The sequence below is a fragment of the Homo sapiens genome, chromosome 2 (assembly GCF_000001405.40).
Source record: "Homo sapiens chromosome 2, GRCh38.p14 Primary Assembly".
Classification (NCBI taxonomy): domain Eukaryota; kingdom Metazoa; phylum Chordata; class Mammalia; order Primates; family Hominidae; genus Homo; species Homo sapiens.
In genome coordinates, this window is record NC_000002.12 from 174,635,340 (window position 1) to 174,657,829 (window position 22,490).

A 22,490-nucleotide genomic window follows, 5' to 3' on the forward strand; every position below is an offset into this window, starting at 1 on the left:
GCAGCGTGTGAGTCCTGGCCATGGGGGCTCTGATGGTGGCCTGACAAGAGCACCAGAAGAGTGCCGGCTGTGACCCTCTCTGCCCTGTACAGCTAGAGAGGCTGGAGGAGAGCTGGAGCAGGGACTAAGCAACAAGCCCAAGGGCACCATATCTAGCTTTCTTGTTCTACTCACTGGTGCCTTCTGTTTGTTTTTTTTTTTTTTTTTTTTTTTTTGTGATTCTCTCAGCCATCAGGAGGGTCCAAACATACTGGAATTTGTGGATATAGGAAGTGGTGGTGTGTGGGAGTCAAATGATCTCCTGGACCAAGGGGAATATTCCACAATTTATAAGACTTGACTCTGCAAAAACCCCAAAGTTGCTTCTATTTGGCTACCCTGGCATGATTATTTTTAAAAAAATGCTTTTAAATGGATTTTTTTGTTTGTTTTTTAGAAAGGTAACTGTAGACATATTCCAAGTCTTGAAAATATTACCCTATAATTCCCCGATGAAGTTTTCCATGGGAGAATACCGAGTAAGGAAACCAGTCCTGGGACTCAGAACTGTGGACAACAGTAAAACCCTGAAGTCTCACCACATGATTGCACTTCTGGCTTTGAAAACACACATAACTGTTTTTACCATTTTGACAGTTGATGGCTGGTTTTCTGATTGAAATGACATTTAGATTAGACAGTTGAGTCAAAATGGCTGTCCAAGCTATAGTAGACATGGCATTAACTTTAACATAGGAATAATGGTACAATTTTGCCATCTTGGAGTCAGAAATTGTAAGAACTTTGGAAAAACAAAATACTACATAGATGAAAAATGATGATGACTCAATTTGAATGTATTTAGAAGTCTCACATTCTGGGTTAAGCTGCCAGTTCCATTTTTCAACTAAGCAGCTGCATATGTTCTGCTTAAGCCGTGTTCTGTGTGGAATTTTTAAAGGCCTTAATAAAATGCTTTATAATTTTCCATGAAAATCCCTAACCTGGCTTTCTGTCCATGATTTTTTTTTTCTGGTTAGGCATTTAAAAATTTTAATATACTTTATATTTCAGAACAGTTACAGATTTACAGAAAAACTGAGAAGACAGTACAGAGTTCCCATAAATCCTACGCCCAGTCTCCCCTATTATTAACTTCTTAAATTTAGTATGATACATAAGTACCAATTAATAAACCAATAGTGATACATAATTATTAACTAAAGTCCACAGTTTATTCAGATGTCCTTAGTTCTTACCTGCTGTCCTTTATCTGTTCCAGGAGCCCATCCAGGACTCCACATTACATTTAGTCGTCGTGTTTCTTACGCTCCACTTGGCTGTGATGGTTTCTCAGGCTTTCCTTGTTTTTGACAACCATAACAGTTTTGAGAAATACTGGTCTGGTATTTTGTAGAATGTACCACAATTGGGCACACAAATGGGTGTTTTTCTCTTGGTAAGACTGGGGTTATGGGTTATTTGGAGGAGGATCACACAGATAAAGTGCCATTTTAGTCACATCGTATCAGATATATGTACTATCTACATGATTTAATACTGCTGGTGTTGCCCTTGATCACCTGGCTGAGGCAGTGCATGTCAGTTTTCTCCACTGTAAAGTTGCTCCCTGCTTCTCCCCACCTTTCCATATCATACTCTTTCGAAGAAAGTCCTTCAGGGTAGAGTGTCTATATAAATTATTTGGAATCCTTCTGCATGGAAGATGTCTCTTCTACATATTTATTAATGTATTCAATCATTTATTTATACCAGTATGGCTGAATGGATATTTATTTTATGCCTTGCATTTTAATTCAACAGTACTTTATTCTGTTGCTCAAATTGTTCCAGCTTCGGCCACTGGGAGCTCTTACCATTGGTTTCTGTGCTCCTTTGACATACTCCTATCAATTTTTTTTTTCTTTTTTGTTTTTAAGTACTTCCTCACTTTCCAGCACTACAAGATGCTCCAGGCTCACCATGTATAGTACCTCCCCAACTGTTTATGATTTTGGTTTCTTTTTTTGTTTTGTTTTGACAAAAGAATACAAAAATAAACTGATGGGCCTAAGAAATGTGTCTTCAATTTTAATTAGTTCTGCTCATATGTATTAATAAAAAATTTTGTTTAATTACATTCATAAAATTAGTCCTACCTACCTGGCCTCTACCAGCTGCAAAACACCATAATTCCAGTGGCTCACGCCTGTAATCCCAGCACTTTGGGAGGCCTAGGCGGGTGGATTACGAGGTCAGGAGATCGAGACCATGCTGGCTAACACGGTGAAACCCCGTCTCTACTAAAAATACAAAAAATGAGCCGGGCATGGTGGCGGGTGCCTGTAGTCCCAGCTACTTGGGAGGCTGAGGCAGGAGAACGGTGTGAACCCGGGAGGCGGAGCTTGCAGTGAGTCGAGATTGCGCCACTGCACTCCAGCCTGGGCGATGGAGCGAGACTCCGTCTCAAAAAAACAAAAAACAAAAAAAACCCACCATAATACCAAGTGAGTGAAATTCTGCACTGGCTTAATCCCAAGATGCATGGTTGTGCTGGTACTGTTTTTTCCCCTACATATTTTTAACATTCCTGGAATCGAAGTGCACACTTAATGTCATGTCTTTTTTTCCTCCTTACCTGTTATTAATTTGATGTTATACCTTATAGTTGATAGTTTTCTGAGAATGGAGGAAATAGATCAGTCAATTACTTTTTGTTTGGACTAAGAGATGTAATTTATTTTCACTGATTTTTTTTCCCACTGAACAAATATTTTGACTAAAGTGGTTTGATGTGTAGCATGTGCGGACATTAAAAAAATCCCAAGATACATTGTACTCCAAACATATTCTAACTTTAACTCAAGCTACAAATTCTCATCAAGTCCTAAATATAGATAAATACAGATATTGATATAAAGTAAAAAGGGGAGTCTATTTAATTTTATTTTTTAAATTGACATTGTAACTGTACACATTTATGGGGTACAATGTGATATTTTGATACATATCTATATTGTATAATGATCCAATCAGGGTAGTTAGCATATCCATTAACTCATGCATTTATTATTTATTTATGATGAGAACATTCAAACACCTCTCTCCTGGCTATTTTATAAAATACAATATTTTACCATTAACCATAGCCTCCCTACTGTGCAAGAGTGCACCAGAATTCACTCCTCCTGTCTAATTGTAACTTTGTACCTGTTGACCCCATCTTCCCCTCCCTCCCCAATCTCTAGTAACCATCTGTTCTATTCTCTGCTTCTATGATATCAACCTTTTTTTTTTTAAGATTCCGCATATGGGTGAGAGCATGTGGTTATCTGTCTTTCTGTGTCTGCCTTATTTCACTTAATACGATGTCCTCCAGGTTCATCCATGTTGTCACAAATGACAGGAGTTTATTCATTTTTATGCCTGCATAGTATTCTATTGTGTATATATACCACGTTTTATTTGTTGGACATTTACGCAGATTCCCACATCTTGGCTATTGTAAACAGTGCTACAATAAACACGGAGGGCGGATAACTCTTCAACATAATGATTTCATATCCTTTGGATATATGTATCCAGTAGTGGGACTGCTGGATCATATGGTCATGCTATTTTTAATATTTTTTAGAAATCTCCATACTCCTTTGTTTTTTGTTCATTTGTTTCTTTTTTCTTTTTTGTAAATTCTTCCAGATCCTGACCCATACTATTTTCCATAATGGCTGTACTAGTTTACAGTTCCACCAACAGTGATGAGTATTTCCTTTTCTCCACATCCTAACCCAACACTTGTTTCCTTTTGTTCTTTTGACAATAGTCATTCTGAATAGAGTGAAGTATATCTCACTGTGGTTTTGATTTGCATTTCCCTGATGAATAGTGATGCTGGACATTTGTATGTCTTCTTTTGAGAAATGTCTACTAAGGTCTTTTGCTCACTTTTATTTTTGAGACAGGGTCTTGCTCTGTCACCCAGGATGGAGTCTTGTGGCATGATCATAGCTCACTGCAGCCTCAAACTCAGGCTTAAGTGATCCTCCTGCCTTGGCCTCTTGAGTAGCTGAGATTAGAGGCATGCATCATCACGCTTGGCTAATTTTTAAATTTTTTGTAGAGACGGAGTCTCACTTTGTCACCTAGGGTGGTCTCGAACTCCTGGGCTCCTCCCATCTCATCCTCCCAAAGTGCTGGGATTACAGTTTTGCCTGTTTTAAATCAAGTTATTTGTTTTTGGTTTTTTTGTTTTTGGTTTTTTTTGCTATTAGTTCCTTATATAGCCTGGATATTAACCCCTTGTCAGATGTATGGTTTGCAAATATTTTCTCCCATTCGGTAGGTGATCTCTTCACTCTGAATAGTTTTCTTTGCTGTGCAAAAGCTTTTTAGCTTGATGTATTCCCATTTGTCTATTTTGGCTTTGTTGCCTATGCGTTTGAGGTCTTATTTTTAAATTTTGTCCAGACCAACGTCAAGAAGAATTTTCCCTATGTTTTGTCTAGTAGTTTTACAGTTTCAGGTTTCACACTTATGTTTTTAATCTATGTTGAGTTGATTTTTGTATATGATGAAAGGTAGGGATCTAGTTTCATTCTTCTGCATGTCCTATCTAAAGCAATTAGGCAAGAGAAATAAATAGAAGCATCCAAATTGGAAAAGAGAAAATCATATTGTCCCTGTTTGCAGATGACATGATCTTAGATATAGAAAACCCTAAAGACACCACCAAAAAACTGTAAGTACAAATAAACAAATTCAATAAAGTTGCAGGATACAAAATCAACGCATAAAAATCAGTAGCATTTCTATATGCTAATAGTGAACTATCTATAAAAGAAATCAAGAAGACAATTCTATTTACAATAGCTACAAAAAGAGATACCTAACAATGAACTTAACCAAGGTGAAAGAAGTCTACACTAAAAACTATAAAACTTTGATGAAAGATGTTCTCACTCATAGGTGGGAATTGAACAATGAGAACACATGGACACAGGAAGGGGAACATCACACTCTGGGGACTGTTGTGGGGTGGGGGGAGGGGGGAGGGATAGCATTAGGAGATATACCTAATGCTAAATGATGAGTTAATGGGTGCAGCACACCAGCATGGCACACGTATACATATGTAACTAACCTGCACATTGTGCACATGTACCCTAAAACTTAAAGTACAATAAAAATAAAATTAAAAAAAAAACTTTGATGAAAGAAATTGAAGAGGACACAAATATATGAAAAGATATCCCATGTACATGGATTTTATATTTTTTATGTATGTATGTATGTATTTATTTATTATTATTATACTTTAAGTTCTAGAGTACATGTGCACAATGTGCAGGTTTGTTACATATGTATACACGTGCCGTGTTGGTGTGCTGCACCCATTAACTCGTCATTTACATAAGGTATATCTCCTAATGCTATCCCTCCCCGCTTTAATTTTAATTCTTTAATTTAAAGAATTTAAATTTAAAGAATTAATATTGTTAAAATGGCCAACCTACCCAAAGCAATCTACAGATTTAATGCAATCCCTATCAAAATACCAATGACATTCTTCACAGAAACAGAAACAAATCCTGAAATTCATATGAAACCATAAAAGATCCAAAAGAGCAAAAGCAATCCTGAGCAAAAAGAACAAAGCTGAAGGCATATCTGACTTCAAAATATACTGCAAAACTATAGTGACCAAAACTGCATGTACTAGAATAAAAACAGACACATAGACCAATAGAACAGAATAGAGCCCAGAAATAAATTTATGCACTTACACTCAACTCCCATTCAACAAAAGTGCCAAGAACACATACTGGGTAAGAGACATTCTCTTCAATAAATGGTGCTGGGAACATTGGATATCCATGTGCAGAAGGATGAGGGAAGGTGTTAAATTCTTTTCTGGGTTTACTGACTCCTTTTGTGTTTACTCCATTACTTTTCCAAGACCTCATGAGTCCATTATCATGCCTGGGCAACCTAATATTGATGCTGAGGGGTTGCAAGAATGGAGTTTCAGTCTGGCTGATGAGGAGCAAATGTGCTGACTGGTCAGCAGGCAGATCCAAAGGTCTCCTTGCTTCTGCTTTCCTACTGAGACAGATAAATAAGTGCACAGTGGCAGGACTGACCAGGAGTCCCCTCTCTGTGGCCAGGATTTTCTCTCCAGCTAATGAACCGCTGTTATTTTGGGAGCATGATGTTTTATAGATCTTTTTTCTTTTAATGGACAGAGACTAATTCAACCATTTCCCACTGGCATATCTTACAAATGGTCACAGACAAAATGCCCAACCTTTTCATCCAGGTAGGCAGAACTTGGCTACTCTAAATACTATTTACTGTCCCACTCCTGTATAAAGTGTACCAAAATACTGATAGTGCCTTACTCATCTCACCAGTACCCAGGAGGGACTGGAAGAGATGCTGCACTGACTTTTTTCAGCAACCATTTACCAAGCCTGTGCCACATGCTTTGACATTGAGCTGAGTGCTTTATATACATATTTTCATTTAATTCTCATTATAATCCTGTGAGGTAGGTACTGTGATCTCCACTTTACAGACAGAGTAATTAAGATTTACGTGGTTAACTAACCTCTCCAGAGTCTCTTGATAAGTCTGAAGCCAATATACAGGTTCAGTTCTATCGGTGCAGAGACTCAGAGCCTAACTGCTACTCTTTGCTATAGAGAGATTTACCATACCAACCATACCAGATTTACCATACCATACCAAGATAGAATACCAACTCTATATTCATAAATGACCACTTTATTGAATAGTCCTATTCTTTATTTTCTGCACATGCCTTTCACTTCAACCAAACCTAAGCTGCAAGGAGGGCAAGGACAATGTTTAACATTCCCTTATCTCAGCTTTCCATTCTCACTGCAGCAGCTCTCCTAGGGACCCTGCATTCTTGCTTTCCTGTCAATTCTAATTTTCTTTTATTTTTATGTTATTTTAAATTCTAATTTTCTTCTGCTTTATCTTCATTACTTCCTTCCTCCACCTTTTTTTTTTTTTTTTTTTTTGAGACAGAGTCTCACTCTGTCGCCCAGGCTGGAGTGCAGTGGCGCAATCACGGCTCACTGCAAGCTCCGCCTCCCAGGTTCATGCCATTCTCCTGCCTCAGCCTCCCGAGTAGCTGGAACTACAGGCACCCACCACCACGCCCGGCTAATTTTTTTGTATTTTTAGTAGAGAAGGGGTTTCACTGTGTTAGCCAGGATAGTCTCCATCTCTTGAGCTCGTGATCCACCTGCCTCGGCCTCCCAAAGTGCTGGGATTACAGGCATGAGCCGCCGCGCCCGGCCTTTTTTGTTGTTGTTGTTGTTGAGACTGGGTCTCCCTCTGTCGCCCAGGCTGGAGTGCAGAGACATGATCATAGCTTGCGGAAACCTTGAACTCCTGCCCTCAAATGATCCTCCTACCTCAGCCTCCCAAAGCAGTGGGATTATAGGTGTGAGCCACTGCACCTGGCACCTCCTCCACGTTTCTTATTTCCTTTTCCCCACTTTGTTTTGCTTTATTTTATTAGCTTCTTAAGTCACAATCTTATTTTTTCCAGTCCTTTTAAATAAAAGCCTTAACTTATTTAAGTGTATTTTTAGTCCTATTCCACACATTTTGATGCATTATATTCTCATTGTTAACTTTTAAATAGTCCATAGTTTTAGTACTGGTTTTCTTGACCCAAGGATTATTTAGAAGGATCATACCTTAATTTCTAAGTGCTTAGATGGAGGTGGGGGAAGGAACCATCTTGTGTTAATTTTCAATGCTACTATACTATTATATGTGGCCAATACATGTCTAGTTTTTGTTAATTGGACATCTTCTTTGTGGTTGAGTATTTAATCAATTTTTGTAAATGCTCCATGATCTTTTAAAAAAATTGTGTGTATGTCCTATTTGTTGGGTTAAGTCAATAATGATAATGGAAAAATGCTATTCAAATATTCTGTTCCTATTTATTTTTGTCTACTTGATGAAATATTGAAAGCATTTTGTTAGCCTCCCACTATCACGATGAAAAACTTCATTTGTATTTTAAATTTTTAAATTTTATTTATATGTATTTTGTGTGTGTGTGTGTGTGAGACAGAGTCTCACTCCATTACCTAAGGTGGAGTGCAGTGGTGCAATCTCAGCTCACTGCAACCTCCGCCTCCTGGGTCCAGGAGATTCTCGAGCCTCAGCCTCCCAAGTAGCTGGAATTACAGGCACGCAACACCAAGCTGGCTAATTTTTGTATTTTTAGTAGAGCCGGGTTTTGCATGTTGGCTATGCTGGTCTCCAACTTCTGACCTCAAGTGGTCTGCCCACCTTGGCCTCCCAAAGTTCTGGGATTACAGGCGTGAGCCACCATGCCTGGCCTGTATTATTTTATTTGTATTTTTAACAGATTTTTCAGTGCTAGGATACTCAGTGCATAAAGGTTCATTATTGTTAAATCCTCTTGTTGGATTTGTATTTCTTATTCTATGTCTCATTTAGTATTTTTTTTACATTCAATCCTACATTTTTAAATATTAATATTACTGTCCTGATTTTTGTTAGTTAGCATTCACTAACCTATCCCCTTTTCATCCTTTCTGTGTTATTTTGCTATACATATGACTCCTAAAGATGGTATATAGCTAGATTATCTTTTTAAACAATGAGAGTCACTGATTTTATTAGAAGAATTTAACCTAGTCACATTTATTTTTGTTTAACTTATTCCTGCAATTTTATCATGTGTTCAGTTATATTATTTTCTTCCTGTCTTTCCCCTCTTTTCTAGACTTTTTCTGACTGATCATGCTCTTAATTAGTATAGTACCCTCCACCCCAGCTGTGTATGTGTTTTAATATGTAATGGTTTAGAAATCCTACTTAATACTTTTTTCAAGAGATCAAATACATGTGACCTTTCTTCATAAACATCAGAGAACTACATAGTAGGACTCTATTAATTGGTAAAGTCATTCTGTTGTTTTGAGAAATGTAGTGGTAGGTTCATGTTAATAAGAATAATTGTATAAGAGGTTGTAATATTACACAGGCATCAGAAATCTTTCTAAAAGGGTATGCTGCCAGGTATCCATATTCACTCCCCCACCCCCCTCCCTATATGGAGGACAAGCTACAGCTTTCACAAATAATGTGGGTAAGTGTGGGGTAGAGGCAGCAAGGAACCCACTGGCTATGACATAACCAAAAACATCCTGGGGACTGCTTCTACAAATTTTGGACTCTTGAGACATGCAGGCAATCTGGAGATCTACAGAGGTATCTGTAGAAGGGAGGCTCTCAGGGTGGGTTTCCTACTACCTCATTTCCAGTCACTAAAAGCCATCATAACTGAGGAATCTGTTCTAGATTAGGTGATGTCACGAAAAATGTAAACATAATTGCTAAAGAGTTGAGGAGCTCAATTGAGAAAATAATGTTGCTAGACCTGCTGAATGGCTAGAATTCTGAGTTTCCTAATGTCTAATTCAGGAGGCACAGTAGTAAACAAGAATTCACAATCTTTTTTTCTTCTCTTTTAAAAAATGAAGTACTTTTCAATTTTTAAAGCTTTGATATCACTGGAGGGATATGGCGGAAATTCTGGCCATAAAATACAAATATTGTTGTGTGGTTTTTTATGTGTTTGAATGAAAGTTAACACTAAAATTCCTTATTTGATTTTTCATAGAGAAGCCTAGAGTAGAGGGGAAGGAATAGGGATAAAGGTATAGCAAGTAAACCTGTCAGTCACTCGATTTACTGAAATGAAACCTTGGTTTGGACCACGAGAAAGTGTGGTAAAATACCTTAAAAGAGTGTTTCTGTTTTAATATTACATGTTTAAAAAAATCAATTTAGCTTAAACAACCCTTTGAGTTAAATATTATATGTAATTATTCTTATATTACCAATGAGGAGATTAAGGTTCCAAGAATTGAAGAGATTTGTTCAAATAAGTAAATAAGTGATAAAATTGGAATTTGAACCCGTTTCTGACTATAAGTCAAGTGTCATTTCCAGTACACACCATAACTGCCTTCTTGTTGTTCTGTCTCTGAGAGAAATTTAAACCCATGCACACCACATGAGTTGTGCAGCAGGTAACTGTGGCAAGATATGGTCTGTGCTTTACAATGTACGTCAAATGGTCCAGCCAGACCCCAGGGCAATTGTTTCTAAAATGACCCTGAGGGATTTTTGGAGTATTATGTCATGCAAAGCCTCTCCTCATTAACAATCCTGCAAAAGCCAGCAAATGCTGTTTCTGACCCTTGGAACAGCTAAAGGAAGTTGAAAGGTCAAGAAAGTTCTCTTGCTGGTAGACTATACACTGGTACCTTGTTGATACCATTGTGATGTGATCTAAGCCAAAATTCTCAAGCCCTTTGACCAGCTGTCTTCAAAGCTAGAGCCCTACCTAGTGGGGTTATTCTTCTTCGGCATAACACAGGGCCTGATGCCAACAACCAAACTGGCGCTTTCCAACGTTGTGCAACTGAATTCCAAATAATTAGGCCCTATATTCATCTTTGTTGTTGACCAAAACATTGAAAGAAAATGGCAAATTTCCTTGTTCATAAAATGACTGGCTAGGGACACATAGGAAAGCCTTGCCATTCATCCAGGGTGAGTTTTAAGAAGGCTCATAAATACAGAACAACAGACGTAGCAGAACGACAGTACTGAGAAGCAAGACACCATCTTACATTTGGTGCTCCTTTCTTTTGGGCAGAACAGTGAAGAGATTAACATAGGCAATGTAAACAATTCAACAGCATGCGAAAAGTGTCAGGAGTGATCCTGAACAGTAAGGTGTCTCTCGTTATGGAGATTGGTGGCTTTGATTCAGAATTTGTGTTTTCCTCACATATATGTAACACGGGACCAAGAGAACACCTAATTAATAATCTATTTGTATATTCTTCCTACTCAGGAGCATCCCTCTCCTCCATATTTAGGAGCACATCAAACGGGGCAAAATTGGTAAACAAGTTCATATCACTCCCGAAAGAAAGAATTCTGAAATCAAACTGCCTGGGTTCAAATACCAAATCCATTACTTACTAGTTGCAATTAATTGCTTTATTCTTTTGGGTCACAGTTTTCTCATCTATAACATGGAGATAACTTTAGTATTATTCAATGTGAGTATTAAATGTGATGCTGCAAAGAGTTTAGCCACTGCAGCGCATAAACGGTGGTTACTGTTACTATTGTAGGTGGAAAATTTTATTCTCGGGAAATCTATATTAGAATTTCTCACAAGAAAGGCAACCAGAGTCAAGCAAAGAACTTTCTTTCTTTCTTTTTCTGAGATGGAGTCTCATTCTGTCGCCCAGGCTGGAGTGCAATCTCGGCTCATTGCAACCTCCACCTCCCAGGCTCAAGCAATCCCACCTCAGCCTCCTGAGTAGCTGGGACCACAGGCACTCACCACCACACCCAGCTAATTTTTTGTATTTTTAGTAGAGACAGGGTTTTGCCATGTTGCCTAGGTGGGTCTCGAACTCCTGGGCTCAAGCAATCTGCCCACCTCCGCCTCCCAAAGTGCTGAAACTACAGGCGTGAGCCACCACGCAGAGCCATGAACTTTATTTCTGAGGGTGTTTTGCATGCAGGAAATAAAGGATATTCAGAAATCAAACGGAACAGAGCTGCAGATTATCCCAGAGAGGTACAGTCTAGCTAGAAAGCAGGAAAGGAAATCCATTAAGGGTACTTTGAGCCTGGAGGTGGTGAAGCACATACTTTCCTAAATTTGGAAGAGTGAGAATATTTGTGTCTGATCAAAAGTAAGGAGGAAAGCTGAGGCAGGAGAATTGCTTTAAACCAGGAGTTCAAGACTGGCCTGGGCAGCAGAGCGACATCCTGTCTCCAAAACATTTTTTTTTTTTTTAATTAGCCATGCACAGTGTCACACACTTGTAGTCCTAGCTATCTGGCAGGCTGAGGCTGGAGTATCCCTTCAGGCCAGGAGTCCGAGGCTGCTGTGAACTATGATTGCACCACTGTACTCCAGCCTGGGCGACACAGTGAGATGCTGTTTTTTTTTTTTCTTTCCGAGACTGAGTCTTGCTCTGTCACCTAGGCTGGAATGCAATGGCGCGATCTCAGCTCACGGCAACCTCTGCCTCCCGGGTTCAAGCCATTCTCCTGCCTCAGCCTCCTGAGTAGCTGGGATTACAGGCGCGTGCCACTATGCCTGGCTAATTTTTGTATTTTTAGTAGAGATGAGGTTTCACCATGTTGGTCAGGCTAGTCTTGAACTCCTGACCTCGTGATCCGTGCCCCCTTGGCCTCCCAAAGTGGACCCTGTCTTAAAAAAAAAAAAAAGGCAGGAAAACGGCATATGAATTACATCTCCATGATAAAAAAAAATGAGGAAAGCCTCATGGCTAATGAGAAAATATGTTAGATAAGAAAGATAAAGAGAGGTTTCAGCAGAAGCCATGAAGGTAGGTAGAGGAAAAGGTGGCTACAAAGAATTTTGGAGAAACTGTTTATGTAGCATAAAGCATAAAACCTTTAAGCCATGCCTTTTAGAAGAACCTAGATTAAAGAGATAGGTTATTCTTCAATGCTTCTGGGATTGGGATATGTTTTGTTTGAAAGAGACTCCAGGCAGAATCCGGACCATGTGGGGTCTCAAGATTTATTCAGGTTACAATTAGAGAGTGGGTTACATCCATTTGAGCAACATCAAATCCAACCGTGTGTTAGTCACATTTTTTCTGGGTTATGATTCAGATTTTGAAATGGCCGCAGACAGGCTGACTTACATGATTCTGTGAAGGAAGCAGACTTACAAAACAGAAACATCTCTCGAGATTTTATTAATTAGTGGCAGTCATAATGAATGGGGAACATTGTACGTTGTATAGTGACATCTATTATTTTGTTTGCCTTCAATCAACTTCCAGAAATAAGGTTGGTGCTCTGGGTGGTGCCTAAAGTAGAACAAGGGTGCTATTTACTAAATTACTATCGCATACTTCTCAATGATATAAGCAAGGTACTAAAAGCAACATAATATCCACCAATTAGCTTCCAATGACACATCTGCATACAGAAATGATCAGCCATCTCTGTGTCTAATAACATAAGTGTGTTTACTGAAATATGTCTCCTGAACATTTTGTGTAAACTGCCTTTTAACCTTTGGTGCACTGTGGAGCATTAGTAACACTGATGCAAGTGGAGGGAGAATAGGAGTTAATGGAATATTGCAGTAAGTTGATAATGGTTTTTAATAAACTCTACTTCTTTTATTATTGGAAAATTAGCAACATGAACTGTAATATTCATGAAAGCATGCTGAGATTTCTAGTAACTAGGTTTTATAGGCATGAATCTCTCCCAAAGCAACAAAGAATATACAGGGGGAAAATAGGTTGTGACCAAGTCCAGTGTGCTATGGAATGTACAATTAGATGCAAGAATTCGGCTTTTAAAAAACACATCTAGCCTGATTAAAAACAAGGATTTAGGGTTATAAAAACAAAAACAAACAAAGCAAAGCAACCCCTCCCCCTTGTCATTAATGACAGACTGCCTTGGGCTATGCAAATTATTAAAAAAGAATTCGGTTAGGAATTCCCAACCAATGTAGAGATTACATTTCACATTTGTGCAGTTTGCATAACAGGCACATTTAACTTACATAAATCCAACTTTTAATGCTTGAGGGAGAAGGAGAAAGAAAGTAATTTAAACAGTGATGGCCATTTCCCCCACCACTCCTCATAGTGAACGTGCCCCCACAGTATCCTGAGATGACAGACATGAATCTGCAGGTTCTTCTTCAAGACTCTCAGTGTTTTCATCATCAGGCCATACTAGGGGTGATTCCAGCCTTTAAAAATACACGTATTTCAGATGCTGAGCCCATAAATGGCAACTAGCTACTTCATCTGTGTATTGGGTACACACACGTATATATTTCCTGTGTTTTATTATGTTTGAGACAACTTTAAAAGCTTTCTGGCTGGGGAGAGATTGCTCCTTCTGGGGCTAGCCAACTTTCAGAGATAACAAGGGTTCAGTCAGGAAAATGCTTTTGATATGCAAACTAATCAATCCAGAGTCAGCTCTCCCCTATCTGGCCCATATACCCCAGGAGACAATATTCCTCTGCCTTGGTCATCCCAGGGCTACGTGTCACCCCTATAGTTTAGAGCCTGCTGAAGTTATTCAAACTAGCCAACCCTAAACTGTTTTCATCCTGCCCTGCCTTGCCTTTCCCAAGGAAACCCCAATAAAAGCTCTGGCCTAAATGTTCCCCTTGTTCCTGTTTTCTGCCTCCTGACCACCCTGGTGTCTTTCCCATGTGGCCCTATGTGGTGTGCTGTGCCTTTATATGTAGGACTCGTAAGTACAATAAATGTTGTTTTCCTGAGCCTCTCCTGTGTCTTCTCCCAAGGCTACTCCTGACTGACCATCACATAAAAGAATACAAAACAATCTGAAAGTCAACCAAGGAAATAGTAATCAAGAATAATTCTGAATAGACGTAATTTCTACTTTATGCATGACTGTAAACCTTAACTTCACTGAACTAGACCAGGTAAGACTTTATCTCCACATGGTTCCTCCAGTCCTGACAATAACAGACTAGAACCTGTGCTGCTGCAGTGATCTTAAGGCTAAATAAATTCTAAATCACCCTTCTTTCTGAGTAGCCCCTCCAGTGTGTCAGTTCTCCTTATCCCAAGCTGATGAAGTAAAGATGAGTATTTGGGGTTTTGTCAACACTTAAGGCAGTGAGCACCTCAGAAAGAGGTGTTTTGTCTCTTGGCCTTGGTTCAGGGGACCTCTTCCTTCTAGACCCTCCCAGGTACAGCTGTGCCCCCTTACTCTACCACTGCACCAGTATAGTCCACTAGAAATCCTCCTCTACATGTCTGTCTCCTTCTGGGTGGGGAAAATGGTCTGGCACCTTGCAGGTGTTTCCTGAATGAACGAAAGATGACTGCCTCCCAGCAACTGAGAACAGAGGAATCCCTCATTCTCAAAATCTGCAGTTTAGTTTGACAGTTTTATAAATGATCAGTTCACTCTGTGTACACACAACATGTAAGAGCTTCAAAATTTTTAAATGCTGATTCAGTCTCAATTAACCTGTTGGGTAATTTACAGTTATACGGCAAACACCGGGATACGAAACCACCTTTGTTACTCCTCCTATAAGCTCCTGTATATGGGAGTTGTTTCCTGGACCTTCTACTTTCACTGAATCTTAAGACCATCCTGACTGTTCTTCTCCATGATGATTGACTCTCTTTAGCTTTTCAGTTTCCTTTTTAGTATTAAACAGTACATCTCCTGACAATATTTTAAACAGAGAAACAGGTATCTAAATAAGATAGAAAGTCTTTGACAAATAGAAAGCATCCAATCTATTATTTCTTCATCCCTATGCTAGGGACCCTTGCTCTGATTCAATGTGCGCATGAGCTCTTTCAGAAGGCTGGGCAGTGAGGAATGCCCAGGCAGGTGCCTGCCATGAGAACCTGCATGTGATCACCACACAGCTTGGATGAGAACAATACCATGGCAAACTTATGTCTACAGAGACAGCCCTACAGACTGGCATCACACGTGCTGTGGATTTGCCATCCCTAATCTAGGAACACAACTTTTGATTCACAGGGAATTGGCTTTCGCATTGCTTGTTGGGCTTTTAAACCAGTGAATGGAAAGAATAAAAAGTTTTCTCCACACAACTTCTCGGAAGAGATCTGCCCTGTGATCTGCAATGTCCTGACGTTCAAACTTCTAAGTCATCTGTGGAGACCGCTCAACTGATTCCAAGTGGAAGTACTAAGACTGTCATTTCAGGTCAGCTGCTTCTTAAGCACCAGCTACCTCAGGCCCTAACAGCCTCATCTTCCTGTATATGCTCAGATTACTCTGCAAATGCTCTTTGTAGCACAAACTAGTAGCATTATCCATTAACCTAAAATAATTATTACATTAAGTATTTACATGAATCAACACTACTATCTTTTTTAAAAAAAAACAACAAAGTACTTTTTTATGCACTAATTCATCATCACCGAGCAAAGTTGTTGTTTCTACTTCAGAATGATAACACTGAGTTACTGCTAAATGAAAAACAATAGTAACATACCTTTTCAAATACACTATAAAATTGCAGCAGAGCTTGGTTTTGTTGCCTCTCACTCTGGGTCCCAGCTCAATAAATATCTGTTAACTGGTTAGCGAACTCCCCAATGTTTATCTTGTATGGAAAAAAACTAGCAGTAATACAGCACACTTTGATGCAACCAGGTGGTTCTCACAATCAAGATCTTACAAACACAACGATGTGTTATATGGTAACTACCCAAGCTATGAAGCCAGACAACTTTATTGGATGAGTGCTCCAGTTATCTACTGCTGCATAACCAAAGGACCCCAAAACTCAGCTAGATAAAACCACTACCATTTCATTATCCTCACAGATTCTTGGCTCAGGAATTCCGAAATGGCACAGTGGAGACAGCTATTCTCTGTTCCATAATATCTGTGGTCTTAGCTGGGGTCACTTGATGAACTGGGGGCTAGAACACTGGAGCTGGACAATCTACTTCCAAGAAGGCTTCTTCATGTAGATGCCTGGTACAAGGCTAGGAAGGATAAGGTATAGACTCAACCAAGACTGTCATCCAGAGCACTTACATGAAGCCTTTATGGCATGTAGCTGGACTTTTTACATAGTGGCTCAAGTCTCGAAATGCAAGTGTTTCCAATGAACGAGGCAGAAGTATAGCTTTTTATGTCTTAGCCTTGGAAGTTACACAGGGTCATTTCTGCCGTACTCCCTTGGTCAAAGTAGTCACAACCTCTCCCCCATCACATTTAAGGGGAAGGACCACAGGCCCACCTCTCATTGTGAGGAGAGTCAACGTATTTACAATCATGTTTTAAAATACCTACAGTAAATCTTCAGCCTCTTGTCTGGTGCACTAACATTTTGAACTTGAAATTTTTAATGATAAGCCTGTGTGCTTACAGAATATGAGCCACTAAGTGTCTGCGATTATATTTCTAGAAAATCAGCTTCTGAATTGTGGGAGGCCACAGTCCCAGGGCAATATAATGCCTACATGGACGTTATGTAAATATTAATTTGGAATAACAACAAAAGGATACAACTGGTGGAAAATCTGTTGTCTATCTTTGGCCCTTTAGTATTTTCCTTTGGTGATTTTTCCCATCTCCATTAAGGCTATATAGCAATCAGATGCCCGAGGTTAAATTAAAGCATTTAAGGAGCTAGGAACCTTAGGGGGAAATAATTTAAATTTATAGAGCTAACCATTAGGCTTGAGGTGGCAAACTCAAACTCCTACCACAGCCAGGCTGGCAGAGGAGTAAGTGTGGCTGGGGTAAGTCAGTGGAAGTACTGGGGACTGAAGTTCACTGGAAACATTTGCCTTAAGGTATGTAAATTCCATTTAAAAAAAAAAAAAAAACAAAAAAAAACTTCATTTTCCAAAACTGGCCTTTGAACCATAGCTTATAATCCTTAATTTAGATTAGGTGGCGGGTATTTCCTAGATTTATGGTTTTTTGCCCTAGTTCTGTTGGTCTGTTTTCCACTCCTCTATGAGATTGGTCTGTTTTCCACTCCTCTATGAGAAAATAAACATTGAATATATAATTCTGTAGCTAATAACAAACATATAATGAGAATGTACTATGTCCAGGTGCTAAGTATTTTATTTAATGATCAGTAGTCCTTTGGGGTGGGTATTACTGGGCCCATTTTACAAATAAGGAAACTGGGCTTCAGGAAATTTAAATTAACCTGAAAAAGGTCCTAAAGCTAGTAAGTGGCAGAGATTAGGTTCATACTGAGGTATGTCTGCCCCCAACACCTATGGTGTTAACCACTCCATGTTAGAATATGGTGCTCTGGATGAACGTGGCTCCCCTAAGGTGAGTGGCCAACAAGCAGGGGCCTATCTTTGCTGACACTTCTTTGGGTGTAACCCACCCAGCTACTCTAATTTTGGGATAGAAATGGAGCTTACCTGTGTCAGTGAATATATGGGGATAGTACCTCTTACCTAGGAATCCTGTCCTGGAAGTCTAAGACTGCGTAAGAAACAGAGTTCAGGCCGGGTGCGGTGGCTCACACCTGTAATCCCAGCACTTTGGCAGGCCGAGGCGGGCAGATCATGAGGTCAGGAGATCGAGACCATCCTGGCTAACACGGTGAAACACCCATCTCTACTAAAAATACTAAAAAAAAAAATTAGCCGGGTGTGGTGGCGGGTGCCTGTAGTCCCAGCTATTTGGGAGGCTGAGGCGGGAGAATGGCGTGAACCTGGGAGGCGGAGCTTGCAGTGAGCCGAGATCACGCCACTGCACTCCAGCCTGGGCAACAGAGCAAGCCTCTGTCTCAAAAAAAAAAAAAAAAAAAAAGAAACAGAGTTCACAGTACTTCTGACCCCTGACAAAGTTTCTCTGGATACCTGAAAAGAAAGTTCGGGTCTCAGTCTTCTAGAAGATGGGCAGTGCTTTGCCACTGATCACCTGACATAAAACCATCCATCAGCAAGGTGCTACTCACATATTTATCAGAGAAAGCACAAGTCATGGACTGTGTGAGGCAGGCATTTCCGTACTCAACAACCTCTCCTGGTAGACCACCACAGATTCTCCCCTTAGTAAATCTATTTTTAAAAAGCCCCCTTTAAAAATCCTCCTCTACTTCCTTGAAGAGAAAATTCAAATAGAGTTCTCATACATCAAACATATGACAGAGGCAGTTTTTAATCATTTAAATTATTTATCCTTTATTGTTTAATGCTTTATATCATTCTTCCATGCATAATTTATTGTACCATTTATGTTTATTAAAAATTGATCATGGAGACATGCTCTCTCTCCATTCTCTGAGGCTACAGATATTTCTTTGTCAAATCACTTGGGAATAGACAACAAAGTGTTCTACTAAATTTCTTTTTCATTCACTTTAACTGTTTGTATGTCCCTTTCTTTTCTTAGGAGTCCTTTTCTTCCACTAAAAACTAGAGTTTATCTTTGTGTATTAACTGCTCAGTTTCTTTTTTATATAAAGAGAAAGCTTGTCTGAAGGCCCCCTTTCTATTCATTAAAGCTTTCAGAAAAAAAGGCTTATTTTACTTTTCTAATTTTTGAACGCAAATGTAAAAAGGAGGCACAAAAGAACAAGATTCTAGAGTCTTCTGTGCTACAGGCCATAGCTTGTGGAACCAACCCCCTTTCTCTTTGCCTTTTCTACTTTATTCCTTTTTTTTTTTCCTCCTCAGATGATTCATACTTTCCTTGCCCTTATTATGTCTGCAGTCAGTTCTTAACTCTCTTCTGACTAGTTTGGTTTTTTTCCCTTCTATATCTTCCGATTGCTCCCCAATTCCTCTCACCTTTGCGCTTCTCAACCCTATGTCCTGAACTGCTCTCTGCAACCCACCAACCCCAGTCCTGAACTGTGCATCACCAGCGTCTCTGACCCACTGCCACAAACCTGGTCATTCTACTCTTCTCTACCAGAGGACAGGGGAGAAGCAAAAAGGAGCAAAGTATGTGAGAGGCAAGGAAGCTAAGCAGAGCTAAGAAGCACCTAAGAGGCTCACAACATATTAGTCCTGAAAAAGGTTTGTGGCAGACCACTGAATTCAAAGGCATCTAACTTGGTATGTCCACGCTGGCTCTCCTCAGTATTCCAGCCCATTTCCATGAGGTCCAACCATGTTCCACTTCCAGTGTTCCCTATTGCAAGATGAGACCATGACTGGCTGCCCAAGCCAGAAATCTGAGGATCACCCTTGCCCCTTCCCTCGTATTCACCCCCATAATCCCCAACACTTGCAGATCTACTCCTTAGTATCTCTGGAATCCATCCCCTGAGATCCATACCATTGGCCATCCACCTCCCTCCCTTGCCCGGCCTTCTGTAGCATTTTCCTTCAGGTCCCAGGCCCACCTCCCTCCGTTCTTAGTATGCTATAACTAATATTATGACCACTCTGAGAGGCGGATCTGCTTAAAATCCTCTTCCCACCATGACTGGGATCAAGTCCAGTGTTCTTAACATGGCTTACTTAGCTTATAACATGTGATGAGGCCCCTGCTTAATTCTCATTAATTCTCATGCCTTTTATTTTGCAAACCCTAGGTATGACAGCTCCTCTCCCAACAGCTCTACTTTCTACATCTACTCTCTACCACCACAAAACTTCTTTCAGTTCCATGAAAGGGCCATGTTTTTCTGGTCTCTTGGCCTAGGAGCATGTTGTTCTTCTGCCAGCAACCTTCTTCAACCATCTCCACAGGATGACTCCTCTATTGGATACTTCCATGAAAAGTCCAGGCCTGGGTTATGTACCCTTCCCAAAGTGCACCCCAGACACCCAACAGTTTTTCCAGCCCAGACTCACCACACTGTGTGGTAATTTCCTGATCACTCAGTTGTGCTCCCCACAGACTATAAGCTCTATGAGGGCAGGGGCCACAGTTTGCTTGTTCACTACTATATGCTCAGTACCTGGTAAATATTAGTTGACTGAAGAATGACTATGTGGTAATCTATTCCATTGGTGGCCTCCAGTGAACCATGTCTTCTGGTATTTACATCTTGTGTGGTCCCCTCCATTAAATTTGGGCTTTAACCAACAGAATGCTGCAGAAGCGACACCCTGCCACTTGTGCTTTTGTGATCCTAGCCACCAGTAAGAAGCCCTGTGACCTTGCTGAGACCCTGAAGAGACCACATAGAGAGGCCACTTGAAGGGCAAGGGGTCCTGACTCTACATGGAGAGAGAAGCCCAGCCATCCCTGTTTCCCAGCTGAGTCCTGACCAGATAACTCACTACAAGACTGACCACAGGCAAGAACAGCAGAAGAGCTGCCCAGCTGAGCCCATCCAAGAGTGCAGAATTTCAAGCAAGTAAAATGACTAATGTTGTAAGCCACTAAAATTCTAGGGTGGTTCTTACATAGCAATATGTAACTGTGATAAACTAAATAAATGAATAAAAGGGAATGAAGAATTACTTCACAGAATAAGTTTCATGCAAAGACATCTCAATGTCTCTAAGAAACACTTCTAAGGAAGAGCAGAGTCAAGAAAATAGCAACAGAACTAACAGGAAATAGAGGAACTCATACCACCAGCTTCCATTTACATTACATCACATTTTTCCTCTGTCAGTTTCTTTGGTTTTAAGATATTCTCCAATGAAAAGATATTCCTACTCTTTTGTGAAAAAGAGATTCTAGGTTTGACATTAAAGTTAAGAAGTCCAACCAAGGAGGGGATGTGAACACTAACACACAAATGGAAACTGCTTAGAATCCCATGGCCAACCTATCCCTGCTGTTCTATTTCCTCTTACTTGCCAGCAGAGCAGATCTACAGCTGTGGATGAGGGCATAGAGGCTGCTGTGCTCAGGGGAAACTGGAATACTATGGAGACTCCTGGCTTAACTGGGCACCAAATGTTCAGTTCAGTGTGAAAAATACCATCCAAAGATCAGAATGGTTAATTTTTATACAGACAGTTAATGACTTGTCAGTGAACTAGTAAAAACAAAATAGACAGCTACTCAGTGCCTTTAACCCAGGCATCCAATCAGTTACACTATACACATATGCACATACACCCCCTAGAGACAGCTGATACACACTGTTACATAATCCAGAATATTTTCTGGCTAGACTATATTTTGAATCCTAAATATTAGCTAGCAACATTAGCATGCACATCTCAGAATGAGAAGACAGACTGCTACATTTATACTGGCTTGATGGAATCTTGGATTGCTACTTCTAATAATTGCTTTTCTTCCTGAAAGAAAAAAATCATTATGTAAGAACTATGGCCTAAGCGAAGTATCTGTCTTTTGTAAAAAACCATAAAACAAAATGCCAAGAATATTTTCTAACGTATTATACTGGACTAATGCTTTGAAATTTCTGAATGATGTTTAGTAGGTAAAATTATCAATGTATGTCTAGAATAGCATGCCTCTTAAACCTACCTCCAATTAATAAATTTTATGTGATAGATATTTAAAGTAAAGAAGTGAATTCAGGAACAAGCCAGCGGCTTGAATGCTGCATGCTTGGGAAGGGAAAAATCAGCTCCCAGGGTTTTCAAAGCTCCAGAACTAAGTGACAGAAAAGGGGCCTGCAGCATTAATGTCGATGTCCTGTCCACTAGTGAAACTGAACATGAACTCCTTTCAAACATGGCTGAGAATAAAAGCTAGACTTAAAAAAATCAGAAGGCTGGGTACAGTGGCTCACGCCTGTAATCCTGGCACTTTGGGAGGCCAAAGCAGGTGGATAACCTGAGGTCAGGAGTTTGAGACCAGCCTGACCAACATGGTGAAACCCCATCTCTACTAAAAAAAATAAAAAATAAAAAAATAAAAAATTAGCTGGGCGTGGTGGTGCATGCCTGTAATTCCAGCTACTCGGGAGGCTGGGGCAGGAGAATTGCTTG

The 22,490-nt window shown here is 39.9% G+C and overlaps 1 protein-coding gene and 1 long non-coding RNA gene across 10 annotated transcripts in view; one reads left to right on the forward strand and one right to left on the reverse strand.

Moving 5' to 3' along the window:
* WIPF1 (WAS/WASL interacting protein family member 1) overlaps positions 1–22,490 on the reverse strand; it is a 123,340-nt gene that overhangs the window by 75,766 nt on the left and 25,084 nt on the right.
* Positions 6,938–21,035, forward strand: LOC124907907 (uncharacterized). Its single transcript, XR_007087310.1, has 2 exons — positions 6,938–14,554; positions 15,640–21,035. It is a non-coding gene; the product is annotated as an uncharacterized LOC124907907 (long non-coding RNA).